We start from the raw sequence: 20206 nt of genomic DNA, 5'->3' as shown, positions 1-20206 counted from the left end.
ATTCAGGGAGAGGGTCATGTTCAGCTTGGAAAGCTCTCAGTGGGCCTCTGGGGAGGGGCAGTGATTCAGAAAAGCCTCCATGGCCCTCAATTCATGGCCCTCTACTGTTTTGTGGGCACGCCTGTGTCACCGGTGGGTGGCTGTGCAGAGCTATCCGGCTTCGGATTCCCCAGAAGTCCTGTAGGGGCTGGAAAGGTCACTGAGATAATGTGTGTGCAACCTCAGTGAGGGTCCCTGTGTGGAATCTGATCCTCTGCCGGGTCCCTGGTTTCTTGTGGAGCTGGGCATGAAGGGCAGTCTGTGGCCAGTGCCCTGCCCTTCGGAACTATGTGGCATCTCTCCTTTTCCAAGTGAAGTTCCCATTTCCCTTCCTGTCTTCCCACTCATCAGACCCGTCTACACCTTCGGCTCTGGGCTGAGATCTCCCCTCCCATCTTCAGGAGCGTGTCTGAGATGTTCACCCCGGCATCATCTGAAGTGCTGTCTCTGAAGCCCAGAGGGTCTAACCTCAGACCTTCCAAAAACCAAAACCTATTAGCCTCACCCCTTCTCTGCCTCTCTTGAGCTGAGCCTGTTGATTTCCCAAGGGCCTTGGGAGTGGAGCAGGCTGAGCCCAGGAGCCACTCATCCCTGGGTGTCCTCCCTGGGAGAACCTCTGGGAGGGGCCTGGAGAGGACAGAGGGCCTTCCTTGCACTGCTGTGTTGGGGGATGCCAGGAGGGGCTGCAAGAATCTGGACTGCAAAAGACCTTTCACTGTGTCCTCTTGCTCTCTGTTCGGCGGGCAGTGAGGTTGCCATTCAAAAGATAGAGTGGCGGGTCATTTTCAGTGGGCTCCTCCTGCTCCCATGTCCTTTGTGTTGACAATGCACTGGATCCTTCCTGGAGGTGAGGGAGCCCCGGCCCTCCAGAGATGAACCCCCAGTCGTACTCCAGAAACCTGGGAGAATGCTGCACCTGCCCTGAGGGGCAGCCTTGGCTTCGGTGGCCCCGTGGATTCATGCTTGAATTATCCTGGAAGTTGTGTGGGGTTTTGTTTTCTTTTTTTTTCTCTCTCTTCGAATAAGCCTTTTGTACTCCTAAAGTTCTGTGTTTTGAAGAAATAAGTACACTTGGGGTCAGCGGCTGCATGCTGCGTGATGCGTATTCATAAACTTCATTCTGGGGGAAGAATTTGAGAATGGACCGGAGAGAATGCTTTGACAGTCAGAAAAGTTTTTCTCAAAATTTCCCATGAACTTGGGAAGTGTGGAGATGCACGTGGCTGTCCCAAAGCCATATGAATGGAGTTGATCCAAGCGCCCAATTCCAGCCTGAGATCCAGTGGGCGCTCCGTCTGGGCTCCCATGGGAATGTGTTGGGGCTGCCGCCAAGCAGGAACCGATGGTGCCTGTGATTGTGGACCCCAGATTCCTGCTGGAGCCCACACTATGATACACAAAGCCCGGACTGAGGCATTCAAAGGCACAATCACCATCCGTTTGCTGCTGGACCCCAAGGGCGTTCTTGATAGGTTCTTCCCTCCTCTGTGGGCCGTGTGGGGATCACCTTTCTTTGATCTCCCAACCCTGGCATGAGGCTGATGGAATCTTCTGGGTGTTGTTAACACAGACAACACAAAGGCAGGACGGTCCAAACAATGAAATCCCAGACATGGAGCACAGAAAACAGCTTAAGGGAAATAAGGTTAGAACATTCCCTCCTGGGTCTCTCCCCTGGCGAACACAGGTCTGAGCCTCTCAGGAGGCTGCTCCCTGCGTGTTGTGGGGGTCAGCTCTGGGACCTGCAGCCCCTCTGACCACTGCTGGGAAATGGCCACGGGCACACCTCAGGCCGTGCGTGTTGAGCTGTCTGGGGCGAGATTGGAGGGTGAAGGTTGCCTCTCCCCATAAAGCAGGCTTGGGTTGACTTGGAGCTTTTTAATAAAGCCAGGATTCTGCACAGATTGCTGCCCCTGCATCACAACCAGGCTTCCTGCCGGGGGGTCCTGAGCTTGCAGGTCTCAGCAGCGCAGACCCCCACCGATAGGTGCGAGCCTCCCGTCTGTTGGCATGTGTTGGCGTGCTCGGGTTGCTGAAAGAAGGTTCCACAGACAGGCCAGGACAGAGATGTGTTTTCTCAGAGTTCTAGAGGCTGGAAGTCTGAGATAAGGCATCCGCAGGGGTGCTTCCTTCCAAGGATTTGAGAGAAGCCCTGTCTCCGTAGCTTTTAGATGCCATCTTCACGTCGTCTTCCCCCTGTCTGTGTCTAAGTGTCCAACTGTCCTCCTTTTTATGAGAATATTCGTCTTGGATTAGAGTCCACTCTAATGACCTGTTTAATTTGATTGCCGCTGTAACGACCTTATCTTCAAATAAGGTTCCATTCTGAGGTCCTGGGGCTTAGAACTTTAACATAATTAGGGGGGTCCATAATTCAACCTGTAACAGTCAGTGTGTGACCTGTGGGCATTTAATTGAAAAGGTTTCTTTTTTTTTTTTTTGGTTGGTTGGTTTCTATTTTGAGACAGAGTCTCACTCTGTTGCCCAGGCTAGTGTGCAGTGGCGTGATCTCAGTTCACTGCAAGCTCTGTCCCCTGGGTTCAAGCAATTCTCCTGCCTCAGCCTCCTGAGTAGCTGGGATTACAGGTGCCCACCACCACACCTGGCTAATTTTTGTATTTTTAGTAGAGATGGGGTTTTGCCATGTTGGCCAGGCTTGTCTCAAACTCCTGACCTCAAGTGATCCACCCACCTTGGCCTCCCAAAGTGCTGGGATTACAGGCGTGAGCCACCATGCCTGGCCTGAAAAGGTATTTTAATTGCTTTGGGGACTTAATTGACATCAAGACCATAAATGTTCAGGCTTGGATGACTATGGCAGGAAGTACATGAGGAGTGGGCCTCCAGGGACCTGCCTTTCCCTAAGGGTCTCCATGTACCGTTTTCGAATGGTGTCTGGGGTGGGGACATAAACTTGGGATCCAGGTATCCTGAGTCCTCGGACCTTTTTTCCCATTTATTTGTCTGGCTTGGGCTCTAACATGCACAATATCCCCATAAAATGTCTCAGAGCAGATTTTTAAATGGCCATTACCTTGTCAAGAATTCTCCAGTGGGATTTCATGTAAAATTAGGATCCCTGATGGTAGCTCACGATGAGCTGTAATTCTCCACATAGGTGACTGTATTCATGGGCACCATCCACCCTCCTCATCCAGATGTCTCCCTCTCCAGAGGACTTTGGTGCAGGAGGCCTGTGAGGACCCCAGTTCATTATGACAAGGTTGCAGTTCTCTAGAAGATTCTCATCAGGAGCCTTGTCTACTCCTCCCCAGCAACCTCTTTCCACTAACTTATATTTTAGCTATAGCCTGGAACATTCTGAGCTATGATGAGTGTTAAAATGGGGTGGTGTACTCGTCAGAGACCTGGAGACCGGGACTGGAAGCCACTGTGAAACAGGTGAAATGATTCAAGAAGACAGCTGAACCCCAGCGACACCCCATAACAGAAACAAAAGAACTCTTGTGAGCCGCACCCCCACCCTTCCTTTTCCCGGCATTTGATAGGCAAAGATGAATTTGTGTGACACGGGAGTGTCCCACCCTCCTCCTCCCCATCAGACTCTGCGAGACGCCCGCTCTCCCTTTGGGTGCAGTCATGGATACCAAACAAAGCCTTCATCCCTCTGGGTTTCCGTTACGTAGCCGTCTTCCACGTGAAAACCGTGTTAAGCAAAATGAATAGCTGCAAGCTATTTTATTTCATGTTAAATAACTGTGGATAAGACTAAGATTTTTCTCTTTATGACTCAGGTTGAAAAGATAAGGTCTGGGAAGCGGTGTCTTTGAATCTAGAGATTTTCTGGAGTTAGGGATGTCTGATTTCTACATATCATTTCCACGACCTGTCGCAGGAGACAGGGTACCGGTGCCCCATGATGCTGCAGAGCGGCTTTTGGTGATAGAGACGCATTATGGAATGTGTATACTTGTAAGGACCCAGGCATAGAGTATCTGCCCTCATAAAGCAAACATAATCCTCCACTCCTGAGGTCTGAGTTGGCTCTCCTGGATGCCAGCCTTTGCATGATGAGTGATGCCTTAGTTGAAATGAAGGATGGGCCACCCCAGGTGCCTGGAGCACTTTTATCCCAGTGCATGCCCAAACTACTGGTGTCCTAAACAGTTGGCCCCACAGACGTGGGGTTTGGGGAGCTGAGCTGTGCACTGGGGCGGTGGCTACACTGGCCTGGTCACGTCAGGCTGGGCAGAAGAGTTGGAGCGGGGTGGCTCAAGAGTCTTGATTTGGTTTGACTCTATAACTTGGCTGGCATGGAACTTGGAAGGCTGGGTCCCCACTCCTTCAGCAGGTGGGCCCCTTTGGAGGGAGCCGTTCCTGCTTGTTTTTGAGATAATCTCTCCGGACACTTGGCAGCCCAGCCAGCGTTTGCTTTGATAGCTTATCTCTGCCCGTCCAGCTTGAACTCCCCTTTCCCACCATCTTCGACCATGCCTGCGGGTCTCCACCTCTCCCTGGCCACCATGTAGCCCTCATTCCTTGCTGAAGGTTCCACACTGAAGTGGGTTGTACAGAGGAACCTCGTCCTGGAAAGTGAAAGCAAGTCCCACTGAATGTGACTTGGAGCAAGCTTGTGAGGTATTCGTGGCATCAGAGCCATGAAGAGAAGGTGGAGAGGCGCTGCCTGGGGGAGGTGGCACCGGAGCTCAGGTGGGGGCTCCCCAGGATCCGCACGTGTGTGGGGTCTATCCAAAGGCATCCTCTGCCAAATCAGGCCAAGCATGTGCTGTATCACTCAGTGGTATCCTGCTGCTGTGACAACTGTGGCGACTTTGAAATGATGGTAAGAAAGAGTGTCCTGTGACGGTGGGGACTGAATTAGGCACATCTGTCTCCCGTAGTGGGGCATTAGTGGGCTACACCAGCCCCTCCCATTCTTCTCCAACCAGAAACTGTCAGGTACCCTGCCAGTGTGGAGAAGAGGTGGCCAGCATCTTAGAACTTGGTGAAAGGGGTGTTGTGTGTGTATGTGTGTGGTCAGGTGGACGTGTGTGTGTGTGTGTGTGTGTGTGTGTGTGTGTGTGTGTGTGTGTCTGTGGTCAGGCGGGCAAATTGAGGCCAGAGAGCACATTAATGTGCATTCTGGCCAGAATCAATTCCTGGGGAAAGTTGGAAAAATCTCCTTTCCTTTCTAAATTAGTGTCTACCAGGAAAAAAAGTTGTATATCTTAAGATCATACTTGTCTCACAGCAAACTGATCCTGGTGTTGAGTCAAATTGAGCCTGTTGATCAGGTGTGCATAGTGCTCCAGAGGCTGTCATTTGTAATGGAAAGCCTAAGGGGCATTTGCGGAGCAGCCCAGCCGGCCCCTCCCCAGCACCGTCCTCTCTGTGTGTGTTCCGTCTCTGCCAAGTTGTTTCCAATTTTCAACACTAACTGGTTGCTGTCAGCAGACGTAATGGAAAAATCATTTGTCAGGGTGGCCCCTGGCTCCCTGGGGTCGGGGACTCCACACCCTGGGCAGGGAGCCTCCCTCCTTCTTGGCCTGTACCTCCAGTCACTCCGCTGTGAAAGTGGGACCCCCAGCTAGCGTCTCGGGAGATAAACAAGTAGGCGCTGGCGCTGCATCCCCTTTCCCCTGGCATATCATGCTCCTAGAAACGAAGCATCTGCTGCTGGAACGGTGAGACCTTCTGCCTCTTTCACATCTGGAACTTTCGGGGAAATGCAGCATCTCATCCATGGGCCCAGGCCTTCCCTTCTAGGAGTAGCTGATCTTATTTTCTCCAGGTGCTTGTAGAGCTTAAGTTGGGATAGAAATGAGGATGGTGGCTCATGGCTGTCTCTGCAGCCTCTGGAAGGCCATGCAGGGTGTGCAGTGCCCTCTGCTGGCCAAAGGGCCCCATCGCTGGACACCAGGCCTCCCTTGGGCTGGGCCAGCTCCCAGGAAGGGCTGCAACAGGAAAAGGTCAGCCCACGTGGGGGTTTCCATTGGTTTTGAGAGCAAGCAGAGACTGCAGAGAGCATGTCCTTATACAAGCATTCTGGACCCTACGGTGTCAAGAGATGAGTGGGCTGGGATCTCAGAAGGCCAGTTGGGTTCCCCTAAGGACAGTAGAGGCCCCATAAAATCAGTCGAGGATTCCAGGCCTCTCTGAGGCAAAATTCAAAGGCAAACATCTTAAAAATCTAACCTGAAGATTTTTTTTACAAATTCATATCTCATCATTGCAATTTGTTTGATAAGTAGCTAATTCCTATAATTGCCTTTATTTGATATTTAAATACAAGGGCAATTCATGTGTTAAGTGTAAGCTAAATAATTAAAAGTTAGGAGGATTAAATCTTCCCCCATTTCATATATTAAGACAGCAATGTTTAACATTATCTCATTAATAATTTATTATATACTATATGATACATATAACACAGTGTTCTATAATATGGTTACAATTGACAGTTGAATACATAGTCTAATAAATTGTATTAAGTTTTGCATAGGTTTAGCATATAACCTCCAGATATTTCTCTCCAAGAAGTGTAGCTTGGTGGCTCTTGCCTTTGCAAGTCCTCAAGTTCAAAACCCTTAGTGGCCATCAGTCCCCTGTGCTTTTACACCATGCTGGACACAGCAGATGTATTGTGTGTGCCCAATTGTATTGTGTGTGCCCAGTTTCTCTGCATGACGTTCAGATATAAACATTCTGGAATCATTTCTTGCACACTGTATGTAACAAAAGATGAGTTTTCTGGTGGAACCACTTCTGTCTGCCTAAAATTTGAGATCACTAATTTTTTTTATCTGTTCAACCAGTCTTCTCGGCTACAGATCAAAATTTTCATGCCAGAGTAGGAAAGAGAAAACTAGAAAAGGAAAAATTGATCTGCATTCCTGATTCCTCAAGTCTAAACAGACAGGAATAAGAGGTGTCATTTAGTTTGTTTGCTTATTTGCTTTTATCCCTTTTTTTTTGCTTAACCTTTATTATTAAATAACACTATTAAAACTAATATACAGTTTATTTTTAAGGCATATTTGGAAGACAAGTTCTTTTAAACTGTGTGAAAATCCTAAACACAAGAATGGCTCATTTTCTTTAGCAACAAAGACCAACACTTAATTTCCATTATGACACAAATCAAACAACCAATTAGGAAAATCACAAATTCTTTCTGCTCAAGTCTTCTGTTCTTGATTATAGCTTTTAGCAAGTGAAAATATTTAGAATTTTGGAGTCTTGCATTTAACACGAGGAAATGTATTTTCGTGTGCTAACAACCCTTAACCAAAACGGGAGGATTTACTCAGCTTTGTTGGCCAAGGGAAAGCCTGGTTTTTAGATTTGCTCACCTCCTTCTGTGTGGCAGCCCAGAGCCTCATAGTGTGCCCTCTCCTAGCACTGACTCCATGTGCTCAGAGACTTGCTGTGTACATTTCTTTGATGTTTCTTACTCTGTGTAACTTACAGGGGCTTCACTTTTAATTTTTTGGTCATTTCAAAGCCCCTAAGAATGTTTTGGTGGGAGTTAGATGGACAGAACAGAATCACAGATCCACATTCCTTAGCCTCATATCCAAATTCTTTTTTTTTTTTTTTTTTGAGATAGAGTCTCACTCTGTCACTCAGGCTGGAGTGCAGTGGCGGGATCTCAGCTGACTACAACCTACACTTCCTGGGTTCAAGCGATTCTCATGCCTCAGCCTCCCCAGTAGCTGGGATTACAGGCGTGCACCACCATGCCTGGCTAATTTTTTGTATTTTTAGTAGAGATGGGGTTTCACCATGTTGGCCAGGCTGGTCTCGAACTTCTGACCTCATGTGATCCACCCTCCTTGGCCTCCCAGTGTGCTAGGATTACAGGTATGAGCCACTACGCCTGGCCCTCATATCCAAATTCTAAAATACTCTGATAGCGGCAGAATTTGACCTGCCCTAAATTGTTGAGTCTATTTTTTATATTCTTTCTTAATGCAGTTGGGTCAGTATGATTATCTGTTCTGGCACAGGCATTTAGATGATTTGGGGGGTACACCGTAATAGATTGTGGAAGCCATGTATTTTTTTTTTAAACCCAAGCACTTGTGAATTCTGTAGCATACCTAGCCTTGGGGTGTGGGAAGTGGATTGTAGCCCTGTGTTGGCTACAGCTGGGTTTCCTGCATTGCATCAGCCCTAGGGAATTAGAGGGTGGGGCCCTTGGAACTGATCGAGGGCATGTGACCAGGGTGTGACCATGTCACTCTGGGGTTGGGCTGCTGGGTGCTCCCTGGGGAAATATGAGCTCCCTAGCCTTTCTTTGATGGTGGAACCAGAGTGAAACTTCAATGTGTATATTAGAAAGGGTCACGACTGGGCTTGGTGGCTCACGCCTGTAATCCCAGCACTTTGGGAGGCCGAGGGGTCAGGACACCTGAAGTCAGGAGTTTGAGACCAGCCTGGCCAACGTGGTGAAACCCTGTGTCTACTAAAAATACAAAAATTTGCTGGGCTTGGTGGCTTGTGCCCAGCTACTTGGGAGGCTACAGCAGGAGAATCACTTGAACTCGAGAAGTGGAGGTTGCAGTCAGCTGAGATTCCCTGGGCAACAAAGTGAGAATCTGTCTCCAAAAAAGAAAGAAAGGGTCCTGCTAGTTACCTTTAGGGCATGGTATGGGGGCCCTTGGAGAGGGAGATTTTCCTGTACGCCTCTTTATTGGTAGTGTATAGGAAGTCAGACACCCTCTTAATTCCCAAAAACATAAAACTAAATTTGCAAAAATTAATAAATAATCAGGAAGCAATATTCACTTTTGGCCATTGTCTTAGTTCGGGCTGCTGTAAGAAAAATACCATCGACTGAGTGGCTTTATTTCTCACAGCTCTGGAGCCTAGGAAATGTAAAACTAATGATCTGGCAGATCCAGGATCTGGGAGGGCCTGCTTGCTGGCTGTAGACCTCCTGGCTGTATCCTCGCGTGGGGCAGCAAGATCATCTATTGGGTACTACGGACTGGGTAATAATCCTGTTCCTGAGGGCAGAGCCTCATGAATCACCTCCAGAGGCCCAGCACCCAGATACAATCACTGTGGGCATTAGGGTTTGCACATTCACGAATCCAGCATTCAGCATGGAAGAATTTTAGGGTACACAAGCATTCGGTCCATAGCTGCCGTTCTGAAAATTGGCTCCATTAAGCTCATTTCCTATCCTGATTTTCTCAAAAAGCTTCATTTCCTTCCTTTAAAGTACAGTTTTAGTAATTTTGTTATTAATTGTGGTGTTGCGGTTGCCATTTAATCAAAGGCTGGGCCAGTGCTTTTTGACCCACTGATCCCTGACTCCTTTAGGACGTTTATTTTGTTATATCTGGCTTTGCTGTTGCTTTAAGTTTGAGACAGGCTCTCACTGGGTGGCCCAGGCTGGAGTGCAGTGGCTTTATTCACAGGTGCGATCGTGGCACATCACAGCCTCAAGAGAGCTGCCCGTCTCAGCCTTCTGAGGAGGGAGACTAGAGGCACACGCCACTGTGCCCTGCTTATATCTGGTTTTTAGTAGTTTTTTCCAAGTGTAGTTTACAAAATAAAATGCTCATCACCCGTTCAGAAGATTCTACCCAGCTCTCTTCCTAAGAAAGACATCTGTTGCACAAGTTTGGCTTCTGAAGCCTATGGAATGTGCTCTTTTGAGGTGGCCTGAGCACATGTGGCTGTTAACTCCGGATGAAAAGTCAGAGTGTTTTCTGGGCAGAAGTCATTGGTGGGCTGGCGTTCTCAAGGCCCTGTTAACTGGCACCGTATCTGCAGATGTGCCGCCAGCACCACACCAGCAGGATCCTCGGCTATGTGTGCAAGAGCTGGGTGTCACCACCGCCTGGACTGTTGCTGTCTCCTCATCTTGGCACAGTGGTCGCACAGGCTCCTGGATGAGCCTGTGGGTGCACTGAGAGGCCCTGTAGGCTGCGGTGAAGGAAGCTTTCCAGGAGTGAGTCCTGTCGTTTGGGATCCCAGGCTCAGAAGGGTGGTGGACCTTGTGCATTGATGCGGCCATCTGGGTTGCAGGGAATCTTTTCTTCCTGCATTGGATCGCCTCAACCTCTCAAACAGAAAGTCTGCGCCCCACTCATGCTTAACAGTGAGATCTGAGTTCTCCGGGGACACACTCAGAGAACTTTGGCAGGACTTGCTTAACTACGATGATATTAATTTGTGAGCATATTGTGAAACTCGGTCTGCCTTTATTAACAGAATGTTTAAATAGATTTCCTTGAAAGAATTGAAAGCCATCATCATGTTTAACTGGATTTGAGAGAAATTTCATTTTGAAGAAAGGCACTGTCAAAGGCATGCACTTACTCTATAAATCCCTTCAGCTGCCTATTCTTGATGAAGGCTAGGAAGTGGAGTCAAGAAATCGAGAGGGTCGGCCGGGCACGGTTGCTTACACCTATAATCCCAGCACTTTGGGAGGCTGAGGCAGACAGATCACGAGGTCAGGAGATCGAGACCATCCTGGCTAACACGGTGAAACCCAGTCTCTACTAAAAGTACAAAAAGTAGCCGGGCGTGGTGGCGGCACTTGTAGTCCCAGCTACTCGGGAGGCTGTGAGGGAGGAGAATGGCGTGAACCTGGGAGGCGGAGCTTGCAGTGAGCCCAGATTGCGCCCCTGCACTCCAGCCTGGGCGACAGAGCAAGACTCCTTCTCAAAAAAGAAAAAGAAATAGAAAAAGAAAAGAAATCGAGAGGGTCTATAAAACTGAGTTGATCCCAGGTTTTTGTGCTGTGTAACCTTAAGGGCGCTTGGTAGAGAACCTCATGATGGTGGCGAGGAGCTGGTGATGGTCATTGAGTAAAATTAACCTGCCCAGATTTTAGACTGTGCTTGATGAGGGGAACCCTCCCCTTTCCCCTGCCCTTGATTCTGGATATGTTGGAGTTTGATAGCCAAGCAAGGGTTTGTAAAATGTGCCGTTTTTCCTTTTTGTTCTCTCACGTCTTCAAAAATGTCACATTCTCTGTGATACCTCCACGGAACAAATCTTCCATACCCGTCCCCTCTGGAAACAACCAAGTATCTACAAGTGGCTTTCTTTTCCAAGCCTTGTTCATCTTCAGAAATGAGTTGAATTTCTTGGCACCAAATATTTCAGCCCTAGATCACAGCCCTCACTTAAAGCAAATAAAATTTAAGGTCCACGTTTCTGATCTTTGGTTGGAGTTTGGCCTGTGATACCCGTAACTTTCCTTTTGGGAGGAGGTAGTGTTTCTTGTGCGGTTTGGCTTCAGGGCACTCTTCTTCCTTTTGAAAAGATACAGCTTTCCTGTTGACCTTGACCTTCACTGAGGTTTACCTCCCAGCCTCAGCCAGAAGGGAATGATTATTCGCTGCGGGGATGAGTGTGCAAGGGGGTGTCAAAGGAAAGGCAGGAGCAGCTCACAGAGACCTGCAGGCTCCCACCGAGTGTTTTTGTGCATATCCTCACTGGCTGGTCCTCACTGCCACTCTGGGACATCACAGTGACATCCCATTCTACAGACAAGGAGCCTGAGTCTCCAGAACAGCTCATCCAAGCTCATTCCACGAGTGGGGTCTAGAACTCCCTCCACCCACGATTCCGCCCCTGGCATGATTTGAGGAACAATTTCAGCAGAAGTGGAATAGTGAAACACGTTCCCTCTGCTTTTGTTCCTTCCTTATTTGTGCCCGTATTGTTTGGTGTTTAGGGGGGAAAAATTGATTTATGAGTGGAGCCTGGTTTTCATAGCAGGCATCACCAAGAGAGCTGTGATGTCAGGGAGCCCAGAGCCAGCGTGGATCGGGGGTGCTGGCTTGCTCAGCATGGAGACCAGCTGGAGGCCGCTGTGTGCAGCTCAGCTCTAAGGAGGGCCTGTGGCTGTCATTGGAAGATGGTTATGTTAATTAAGTCCTCGTAAATAGCTTGCTCCTTGGGAGGGCTAAGGAGGAAAATGTCACATTTCATACATTCTTTTTGCACAAGAGATATCGGGGGAGAGGATTGAGGCTACACAAGTCAATGGTCACTGCCCAGACCAGACCCAGAGGCTGGTGGCCTTGGGAGCCAAGATGGCCAGCCCTAAACATGGGTCGGTGCCACTGGCCTGGGGTGTGCAGAAAGGAACCCACAGAAGGTCCAGAACAGAGTGACCCCCCTCCCCCACCCCCACCCCCAAAAAAGCCAGACATGGGAGTCAGCCTCTTTTTTTTTTTTTAATAGTGGAATATTGGCGTTTGTGGAAGCTGATGGCTGATCTTTCCTTTGATTGCATGATTGAGATTCTACTTATCAATTTTTCAGGAAGCCATCTAATTATACAAATTAAAATTCAAAGGAAAGCAAAAGGAATGATTACGCCTCACTCGGGGGTTGGGGGAGGAGGGTGTGAAACCCCCCTTGCCTCAGATTATAATGCTGTCATTTTTCATCTCCGAGGTCTTCACAAAAATTAACTGATTAATTCTCTTCCCCCCTTGGATGACGCAGCTGATGTGGAAATCTGTTTTTACAACAGAGTCAAGGAGGGGCCAGACTGCAGTTTGACCATCAGAGCTTGCGCCTGAGCAAATGACAATTGCTGGCCCGAGCCTCCCTGGTCAGCCTCACCTAGAGTCACTTGTGGGTGGGGGGGGGGGGGGTGGGGATGGACAAAAGCTCAGATCAATAGGTTTGGCCCCCCGCCCCCACTCCAATAACTCTTAAGTTGGCTATAGTTAGGGACTCTTTTTTTGTGTGGTTACCTTTCAGAAAGCCCAGCACTGGCTAGGCGCAGTGGCTCACACCTGTAATCCCAGCACTTTGGGAGGCTGAGGTGGGTGGATCACTTGAGTTCAGGAGTTCGAGACCAGTCTGGGCAACATGGTGTGAAACCCCATCTCTTCAAAAAATACAAAAATTAGCCAGGCATGTTGGCACATGCCTGTAGTACCACCTATTAAGGAGGTGAGGTGGGAGGATTGCTTGAGCCTGGGAGGTTGAGGCTGCAGTGAGCCATGAGCTTGCCCCTGCATTCCAGCCTGAGTGAAGAACAGACCCTGTCTCACCAAAAATAAAAAAGCCAACACTAGCAAAACCAATTTTTAAAATACGTCCACATGGATCTGCTCAAGGGTAACCCCACACATTCTATGACAACCTCCATCTCCTGACTGATCCGATATGGTCAGTCCCCGTTTTGGGGGAACTTCCCAATCGTTGAAAGGGTTTGGTATCTCAGGGATGTTACATTAATTATTTATGTGATTGGAAATTGTGCTTTTTCGTAGCTCTTTTATGGAGAATCACGTAATTATCGCCATAAATCTTTCGGATGCCTTTTCAGCTTCGTTGCTGGGAAATTAGCCGTTAACTTACAGAAACCTGGTAGACCTGCAGTCTGACCTTTTGATAAAGTAACTCTTAATGTTTTGCATAACTGATGACCGTACATCATTATCCTCATTTCTACCCCTTGGGCCTCATTTTTATCTTTATCTCTCCTCTTTCTTTCTGCTAGATCACTGAGAACCACTTTTTCTGTGTGTGTGTGTGTGTGTGTGTGTGTATGTGGTTGTGGTGGTGGTCTTAAAATAAGACTGATTTAATTGTATTCCTTGGGAAAAAAAAAATACAGAAGACAATAGAGTGGGCCTTAAATGTTGTTTCCCAGTTGAGATTCAAGCCACCTTTTTTTTTTTTTTTTTTTTTTTAAAGACAGAGTCTTGCTCTGTCACCAGGTTGGAGTGCAGTGGTACAACCTCAGCTCACTGCAACCTCCACCTCCCAGATTCACGTGATTCTTTTGCCTCAGCCTCCCAAGTAGCTGGGATTACAGGTGCCTGCCAGCATACCCGGCTAATTTTTGTATTTTTAGTAGAGACGGGATTTTACCATGTTGGCCAGGCTGGTCTCGAACTCCTGACCTCAGGTGATCTGCCCGCCTCGGCCTCCCAAACTTCTGGGCTTACAGGCATGAGCCACCGTGCCTGGCCAAGATTCATTAAGCCTCCTTTAATCAATGTAAAGAATGCAGTTCCAGAGCAGTGACTTAAAAGCTGGGATATTGGGGACAGCTGTTAATGATCTGGACCTCACCGGGCACATTGGTGACAGTCAGAGGCTTCCAAAGTGCTCAGATCCTCCTGAGAAGGAGGATGGGCAGCAGCTCCTCTTCCCCAGGCCGCAGTCAGGTCTCCCTCTAGAGAATCCCACATACCCCAAACCACATGGGAGACCTTTCTTGCCTCCTCCATCAGCCTCACCTCTACCTGAAACGTCATGGGGATGGTTACACTCTCACACTAAGAAATACTTCAGCCCATATAGCTGGAACCAAGTGTCAAGGCCAGCAGCCTGGGACCCTGCCCTTGCTGGTGCTGACTGCGGTCCCCTCCAGCTGCAAGGAAGGTTCAGGAAGGCGGCATCGGAGGAACGTTGGTTAGGAGCTGCTGGGGCTTCCCACCCGCGTTCTCACGTGGTAGAGTCAGGGTTTTGTGTTGTGCTGAGCTGTGGCTTTGACCCCTGACCCCTGCGCGGCTGTTTTGGAAAGCATTGTTGTAACTCACCTGGCAGCAGGCCTTCGCAGAGCCCCTCGAGTCGCCACGGTGTGCGTCTGCATCTCAGTGTGAGTGCGTTTGGGGCAGGTCCAACTGGCTGTCACTTGGTCTCTGCCACTGGAATATAATTTATTACACTTCAAATTGGTCAGTAAATTGGAATTTATAGCCCTAAAGTTAAAAGCAAGAGATCTGTTGGAATTTGCTGCTTCCAGAAATAACTGACGATTGTCTTGTGTGCATTCACTTGCTTTCTATTATGAGATAAGAAGCAGGAGGCGGCTGAGATGCACTTGGTGCAGCCTCCATTCCCAGTGCTTTGGGAAAAGAGCAAGTCCCATGTGTCCGCATGGCAGGTTCCCTTATAGAAAGTAGCAGTTAAGTCCCCAGTGAGCTGTTGTCCTGTGCCCAGAGGGTCTCCAGAGAGTAAGGATTCTTTTCTCCTTGTTTCAGGGTTCATAGTGGCGTCATGCACGCAGACTCCTGCAAGTTCCCCTAAGTTCTTAGAGGACTGCTTTGCCTTTTGATCTGAGAGTTGCAAAGTTCCATAAAGAATGGCCCTTGTGGATAAGCACAAAGTCAAGAGACAGCGATTGGACAGAATTTGTGAAGGTAAGAGCGTGTTTGGCGGTTTTTACCAAACATACGTAGTCCCTCACTCAAATCTTCGCTGGCTGCTCCCTTGAGTTGGCTGTGCCACTCCCCAAGCCAGAGTCCCTCCTCCGATTCCAACACTGCATACCATTGGCACCCTCTGCTGGGTGTCCTTGGCCGTGGGCCTGGCCTTGGCTTAGGACAAGGCCTGGCTTCTGGGGCGGGGTTGGGGACTAGGAGGACAGTTTCAGGGCTGGTGGGCCCTGAGGTCTATGTCTTCCATGTACCTAAGGTTATTTTGCATATAAAAGATGGTGTTGATTAGGACCATCTTTTTTCACTTCCTGAAATCTCAGGACTTTACCTGTTTTGGATTAAGATATTTACAATGCTGAATTCCCTGATACTATGAGATTCCTGAAGAGCCCAGCATTGCCCCTCGTGGTGTGTTCATGTCCCTGGTATCTTTGGAAATGTCTGGAAGTGTTCTGTTCATGAAAGGAAAAATAAACATAATTAAAATCTAATGGAAACCTGGGGACAAAACTCTGAAGTGTTGATTAAGCACTGCGCTCTTCCAGCTAGCGGGTGGTAAGAAACCAGCGTGTGGGTTCGGGTTTAGGGGTGAGTGCACCTGCCAGATGGGGTCAGTGCTACAGGGCTGCTCTTTGCTCAGGGTGATTGCTGGTACTGCCCTACAGGGTGGCTCTCGGAGGGAAGCGAAGATGGCTCCGCAGCCCCCTCTGCACCCTTCACGCACACGCTGAAGTTTAGTAGCTGACCCACCAGTTTGTGGACAGGAATATGCAACCCACAGGGCTTCCCCTGCAGCTGCCCATATGGAATTGTCTGTCCTATAAGTAGATGTGGCTCATGCCACACGGGGTGGGGACATCATAGACATTCTGCTGAGTGACTCCATGGCCTCACAGAACTCTGCGCTGCAAGAACACAAAAGCACTGACATTCCTGGGGTTCAGTATAAGGAGTTTGGCGTTAAAGGGTTTTTTTAAAGTAAACATTCACAAATTATAAAAACCTACAGAGAGGTTGGTAGGATGGTACAGTGAACACCAATATTCCATTCAGTTTTCCAGATTCTTTTGAGGGGAGATAAAGATAGAGATATACATATAAATAGACACTGTGTGAGTAGATGATGGATTTTCTTCCAGAACCATCTGAAAAAATTCAGGGGCAGCACTTTACTCTGGACTACCTATGGCATGGCACCTTTTATCCAATTTCGTACTGCTCCCAGTACCGGAATGAACCCCAGGAATCTAACCTCAGGGACAGTATTGTCTAGTATAGGCTGCATATTCGCATTTCCTCCACGTCTCTTTGCCTGTGCAATAGATAAGGGTCACGCATTGTGTTTAGTTGTTACATCTCTCTAGTCTCCTTAGTCTAAAATTATCCCCTGGGCTTTTTTGACTTTCAGAGACATTGGACTTACTGAAGAGCCCAGGCCCCATTGATTTGTAGACTATTCCACAGTATAGGTTCACCAGATTGTATGGGGAGTTGTAAAATTTACTCTTGACTTCCACTGTAAAGGTGCTTGATTGAGGTTACTGAGTACTTGCTTCTGGAACACGCTCGTGACTCAGCTTTCCAAGGTTACTAGCAGGAATGCCTCTGGGGCTGACTCCACCCCCTGCACCCAGGATTCTCCAGGGATGTTGCATCAGAAACTAGAATGGGATTGAAGAGCTAGCAGCGTTTCCTCTGTGTGTTTCCATGGCTGTATAAACCTGACTTGGGCAAAACCATTGTCTGCTTGCAGACCCTCTGTCCCATCCAGACAGGTGCTGAAGGATGGTTCACCAACCTTCCCACCCCCTTCATGTGTAATAGGAAATTTTCAGCCAATTTTTTATAACAGAAGTTTGCATTACCTTGTCTATGCATGGTGTTCCAGATACATTTGCAGTTATATATTTTAAATTTCTCAATAACTATCAACGCAGACAGGCCAAAATGCAGTTACTCCAGTGTGGGTCACCATCTATATGTCAGCTCCCTAGGCATCTCATTAAGTACTCACAGTTGGTCCCAAGTGCTTTGTTGGTGCTCCTCCTATGTATAAGCTGACTTAGTCCTTGTGGCACCTGTTATGGGTCAGGACAGGTGGCACCCATCTCACAGGTGCTGCCAGAGAGGCGTTGAGCAGTAGGCAGTTTGCACCCAGGAACCCGGGCAGTCTGTTTTTTTCTGTTTGGCCTTCTCTCATACCAGCTTGTTGGATTCAGCTCTTTCTTCCACCTGAAGGCCTTGAACATCTAACACACACAAACACACACACACACACACACACACACACACACACACACACACACACACCCCCTCTAGCTTTGAATTCTCACCATGTTTCTATTCTATCAACTACTTGTAGAATGTTCTGTATTGATATGCAGAGAGCCTGTCAAACTGTTTTTTTCTCCCTCCCCACTGCCTACACCTGACACAGGGACTTCTGCGTCCCTTAGGTTTGTTTTTTTTTTCTTTCTAAATGATTAAAAGCATGAAGCTGCCATGTTCTGCTGTGCTTACCCGGTCTGCTCCCAGGCTTGTAGGAACTTTGTCTTCCTGCTCTTGGTGTCTGGATACACCAGCTCCTTAAAATTCGTCCCCTCCCGCCTGCTACACAATGCCAACATCAAGCCCTGGTCGTGGGTCCCTAGGCTGGAATCAGGCAGGCCTCTCCAGGGTCCCACTCCAGGTACTCCGCTGGAATCTGAGCATCACCCCTGCACAGATACTTGTACAACCTTTCCCTGTTTTCTAAGGCCTGTCCAGCCCCTTCCTCTTTGAAACTTTTCAAAGCAAGAAAAAGTGGCATGGAGCTTGATCCTTCTGTGTGCCCAGAATCTGCCGTGGGGATTCACTCCGCCAGGCTGTGTCTCTACTCGGAGAGCAGGACACAGACAGTCTTTGGGACTCCAGCCAAATGAGCTGGAATAATGGTCTTTCTAGCCAATGTAAAAGCCACATTTTAATTTTTTTAATGTAACTCTTTGAGTTTGCTATTTATAATTGTTCCTTTTTTTTCTGATGCCTGCTATCAAGCAATCCTATAATACCATGTAAGAATTATTACGAAGGAGCCCTCTCGTAACACAGGCTGATCAGAACAAGATTGTGGTCTCCTCATTCTCAAGTATAATGGAGATCTTCCTATCTGTTTAGTCTGCTGACATAATTGACATTGTGAACTGCACCAGCTGGAGGGTTTTAGTACCTACTTTATCGCATTATGCCAGAGCTCCTTTGGTTTGCCCCAAACATCTATTGGTTGGAAATGAGGGCTAGCTAACAATCACTCAGCATTGCAAAGGGAACCCAGAAGAGCATCTTGCAGAGCCCTGGGTTTGTAGAACTTAATAAACCACAATGGCTGTTGTTGGTGGTAACTTTTTGTTAGAGCTGCTTCTTGTGGATTATGATAGAATCAGTCTGTAAACACTGCTCCCCTTTCCTGCGGCTGTTGCGATTGCAACTTGAAAAAAGTATGTGTTTCGTTTTACTGCGTTTTGTTCGAATGTGTTAGAGACGTGGAAAATGGTCCCCCGAGGATGGTATCAGCTGAGTTGTGAGTAGTCCCCTTGTAACATGACTCAGGGAGGGTGCTTCTCCATTTCCTCTGCAAAAATAAAAGGGACCTCCTCTTAAATAAACAAGCTCATGAAACATTCCGCACCTCTGGAATGTTCTCACGACCACAGAGGATAAAAGGAATGAGAACGTTGAGCTGGTTGGGTGGATATGAGGAAAAAGGAGACAAGCTGGTTTCTGTGAAACACATAGATAGTTAGAAAGTCTGGGAATCTCATTCTGCATCACCTTTGTCGCAGGAGGATGAGAAGTCTGAGAAGATGCTGCCGGGGATGAGGTGGAAGGGAGTTTCCCCAGTGGGTCTCTTCTGTGTCGCGGGCTCTTCTGCTCTTCTCAGTGGGTTGAACTTGCCATGGTGGAAGCACATGTCAGTGGGATGTACCCCCAAGAAAGGTCATCCATACGTATAAGGAACAAAGACAGGCGCCTCCAGGGTCAGCAAGGTTACCCAAGTGGTCTAGAAGTCCCTCTGGCTCTTTCCTTCTTCCAGCAGCCTCCTTGCCTGGCAAACACCCATCAGAGCCTCCAGGATGAGAGAGTGACTTTCTCTTTCCCCGAGGAAAGAACATAATCCACAGAGTGTTGACAAATGGTTTTGTTTGGTATTTAAGATTTATTTGTTTTTGTTCTGAGTAGCTGTTTTCTTTTCACCTATCTTTGTACAGATGCATTATAAAATCAGGACTTGTTTTGTTTTTGTTTGTTTTTTTAAAGCACTTTGAGCGCTTCGTAAAGAAACAGAGTTGAAGCCTGCCTATAGGTAGTCCACAAACAGTTCTAATAAATAACTTTAAATAGCCCCAAAATGTGGATTTTAAAAATGGGATTCATAATGTTGCTATACATTATAATTATATGTTGGGATCAGGCAATTATGCACATTTCCAGCAATTATGTGATTAGCTGTAATTACATTAGCTATGTAAATATACAATAGTCAACTAGACATGCCTTAAAACCCCAAAGCACAAATGAACATACCCAAACAATCTTATGCAAAGGTAAAGGTTCAGGAAACAGCCAAGGCAAAGCTTCACAGACAAAAGTGCGGTTCTTTGCAAGGGGTAAAGTTTCATGTTTTGCCTTATCTGTCCCCGGCTTTAAGAGAAACTCAGAGTGGGGGACCCCTCCCCAGGGAACCCCTCACCCCACCTGTTCCTCCACCGACTCTGGGGATGGGGTTCATAGACTGCCCTCCCGTTCTGCAGCTGTGAATCAGGTTCGGTGTTTTATTTCTCTGTTGTTACTCATTTCTCAAGCACAAACATAAGCGTCTCTTTGCACCGGTCAGTTTGGTGATGGGCGGATGTCTTCATACTCACCACTTTTTTCTAATAGCAACATGTTAAGGCCACTTTGCTTTTATTTGGGGGGCCAGGGATGTGTAGTGCAACTGGAGTCTGTGGCTGGGGTTTGGGGGTTCATCACCGTCTTCTAGTTTGGTTCTGCAGCTGCGGTTTTCA

General features: G+C 47.9%; 1 protein-coding gene across 27 annotated transcripts in view, besides 3 other annotated features; it reads left to right on the top strand.

Annotated features, from left to right (window-relative positions):
• Positions 1-20206, top strand: part of CTBP2 (C-terminal binding protein 2) — a 178147-nt gene that overhangs the window by 108324 nt on the left and 49617 nt on the right. For 24 of the 27 annotated variants that reach the window (XM_047424671.1, NM_001083914.3, XM_047424677.1 and 21 more), the window contains one exon: positions 14985-15143. The exons of 2 other annotated variants lie outside the window; for them this stretch is intronic. In XM_047424671.1, coding sequence (XP_047280627.1) covers positions 15086-15143 — 58 coding nt within the window. In that variant the 5' untranslated portion in view covers positions 14985-15085. Of the gene's footprint in view, positions 1-4824; positions 4844-14984; positions 15144-20206 lie in introns of those variants that run through there. One more of the 27 variants, XM_047424678.1, reaches the window with a different exon arrangement.
• Positions 1612-2368: an enhancer, noted in NCBI's record as "H3K4me1 hESC enhancer chr10:126740341-126741097 (GRCh37/hg19 assembly coordinates)". NCBI's record gives its function as "activates a minimal SCP1, AML or CMV promoter by ChIP-STARR-seq in primed H9 embryonic stem cells {active_cell/tissue: H9 hESC(primed)}" and the evidence as "EXISTENCE:reporter gene assay evidence [ECO:0000049][PMID:30033119]".
• Positions 5567-6150: an enhancer, noted in NCBI's record as "H3K27ac-H3K4me1 hESC enhancer chr10:126736559-126737142 (GRCh37/hg19 assembly coordinates)". NCBI's record gives its function as "activates a minimal SCP1, AML or CMV promoter by ChIP-STARR-seq in primed H9 embryonic stem cells {active_cell/tissue: H9 hESC(primed)}" and the evidence as "EXISTENCE:reporter gene assay evidence [ECO:0000049][PMID:30033119]".
• Positions 12409-12908: an enhancer, noted in NCBI's record as "H3K27ac hESC enhancer chr10:126729801-126730300 (GRCh37/hg19 assembly coordinates)". NCBI's record gives its function as "activates a minimal SCP1, AML or CMV promoter by ChIP-STARR-seq in naive H9 embryonic stem cells {active_cell/tissue: H9 hESC(naive)}" and the evidence as "EXISTENCE:reporter gene assay evidence [ECO:0000049][PMID:30033119]".

Source organism: Homo sapiens, chromosome 10 (genome assembly GCF_000001405.40).
Source record: "Homo sapiens chromosome 10, GRCh38.p14 Primary Assembly".
Lineage (NCBI taxonomy): Eukaryota > Metazoa > Chordata > Mammalia > Primates > Hominidae > Homo > Homo sapiens.
The sequence above is the reverse complement of the archived record's forward strand: the minus strand, read 5'-3'. Positions and strand labels throughout refer to the sequence as shown.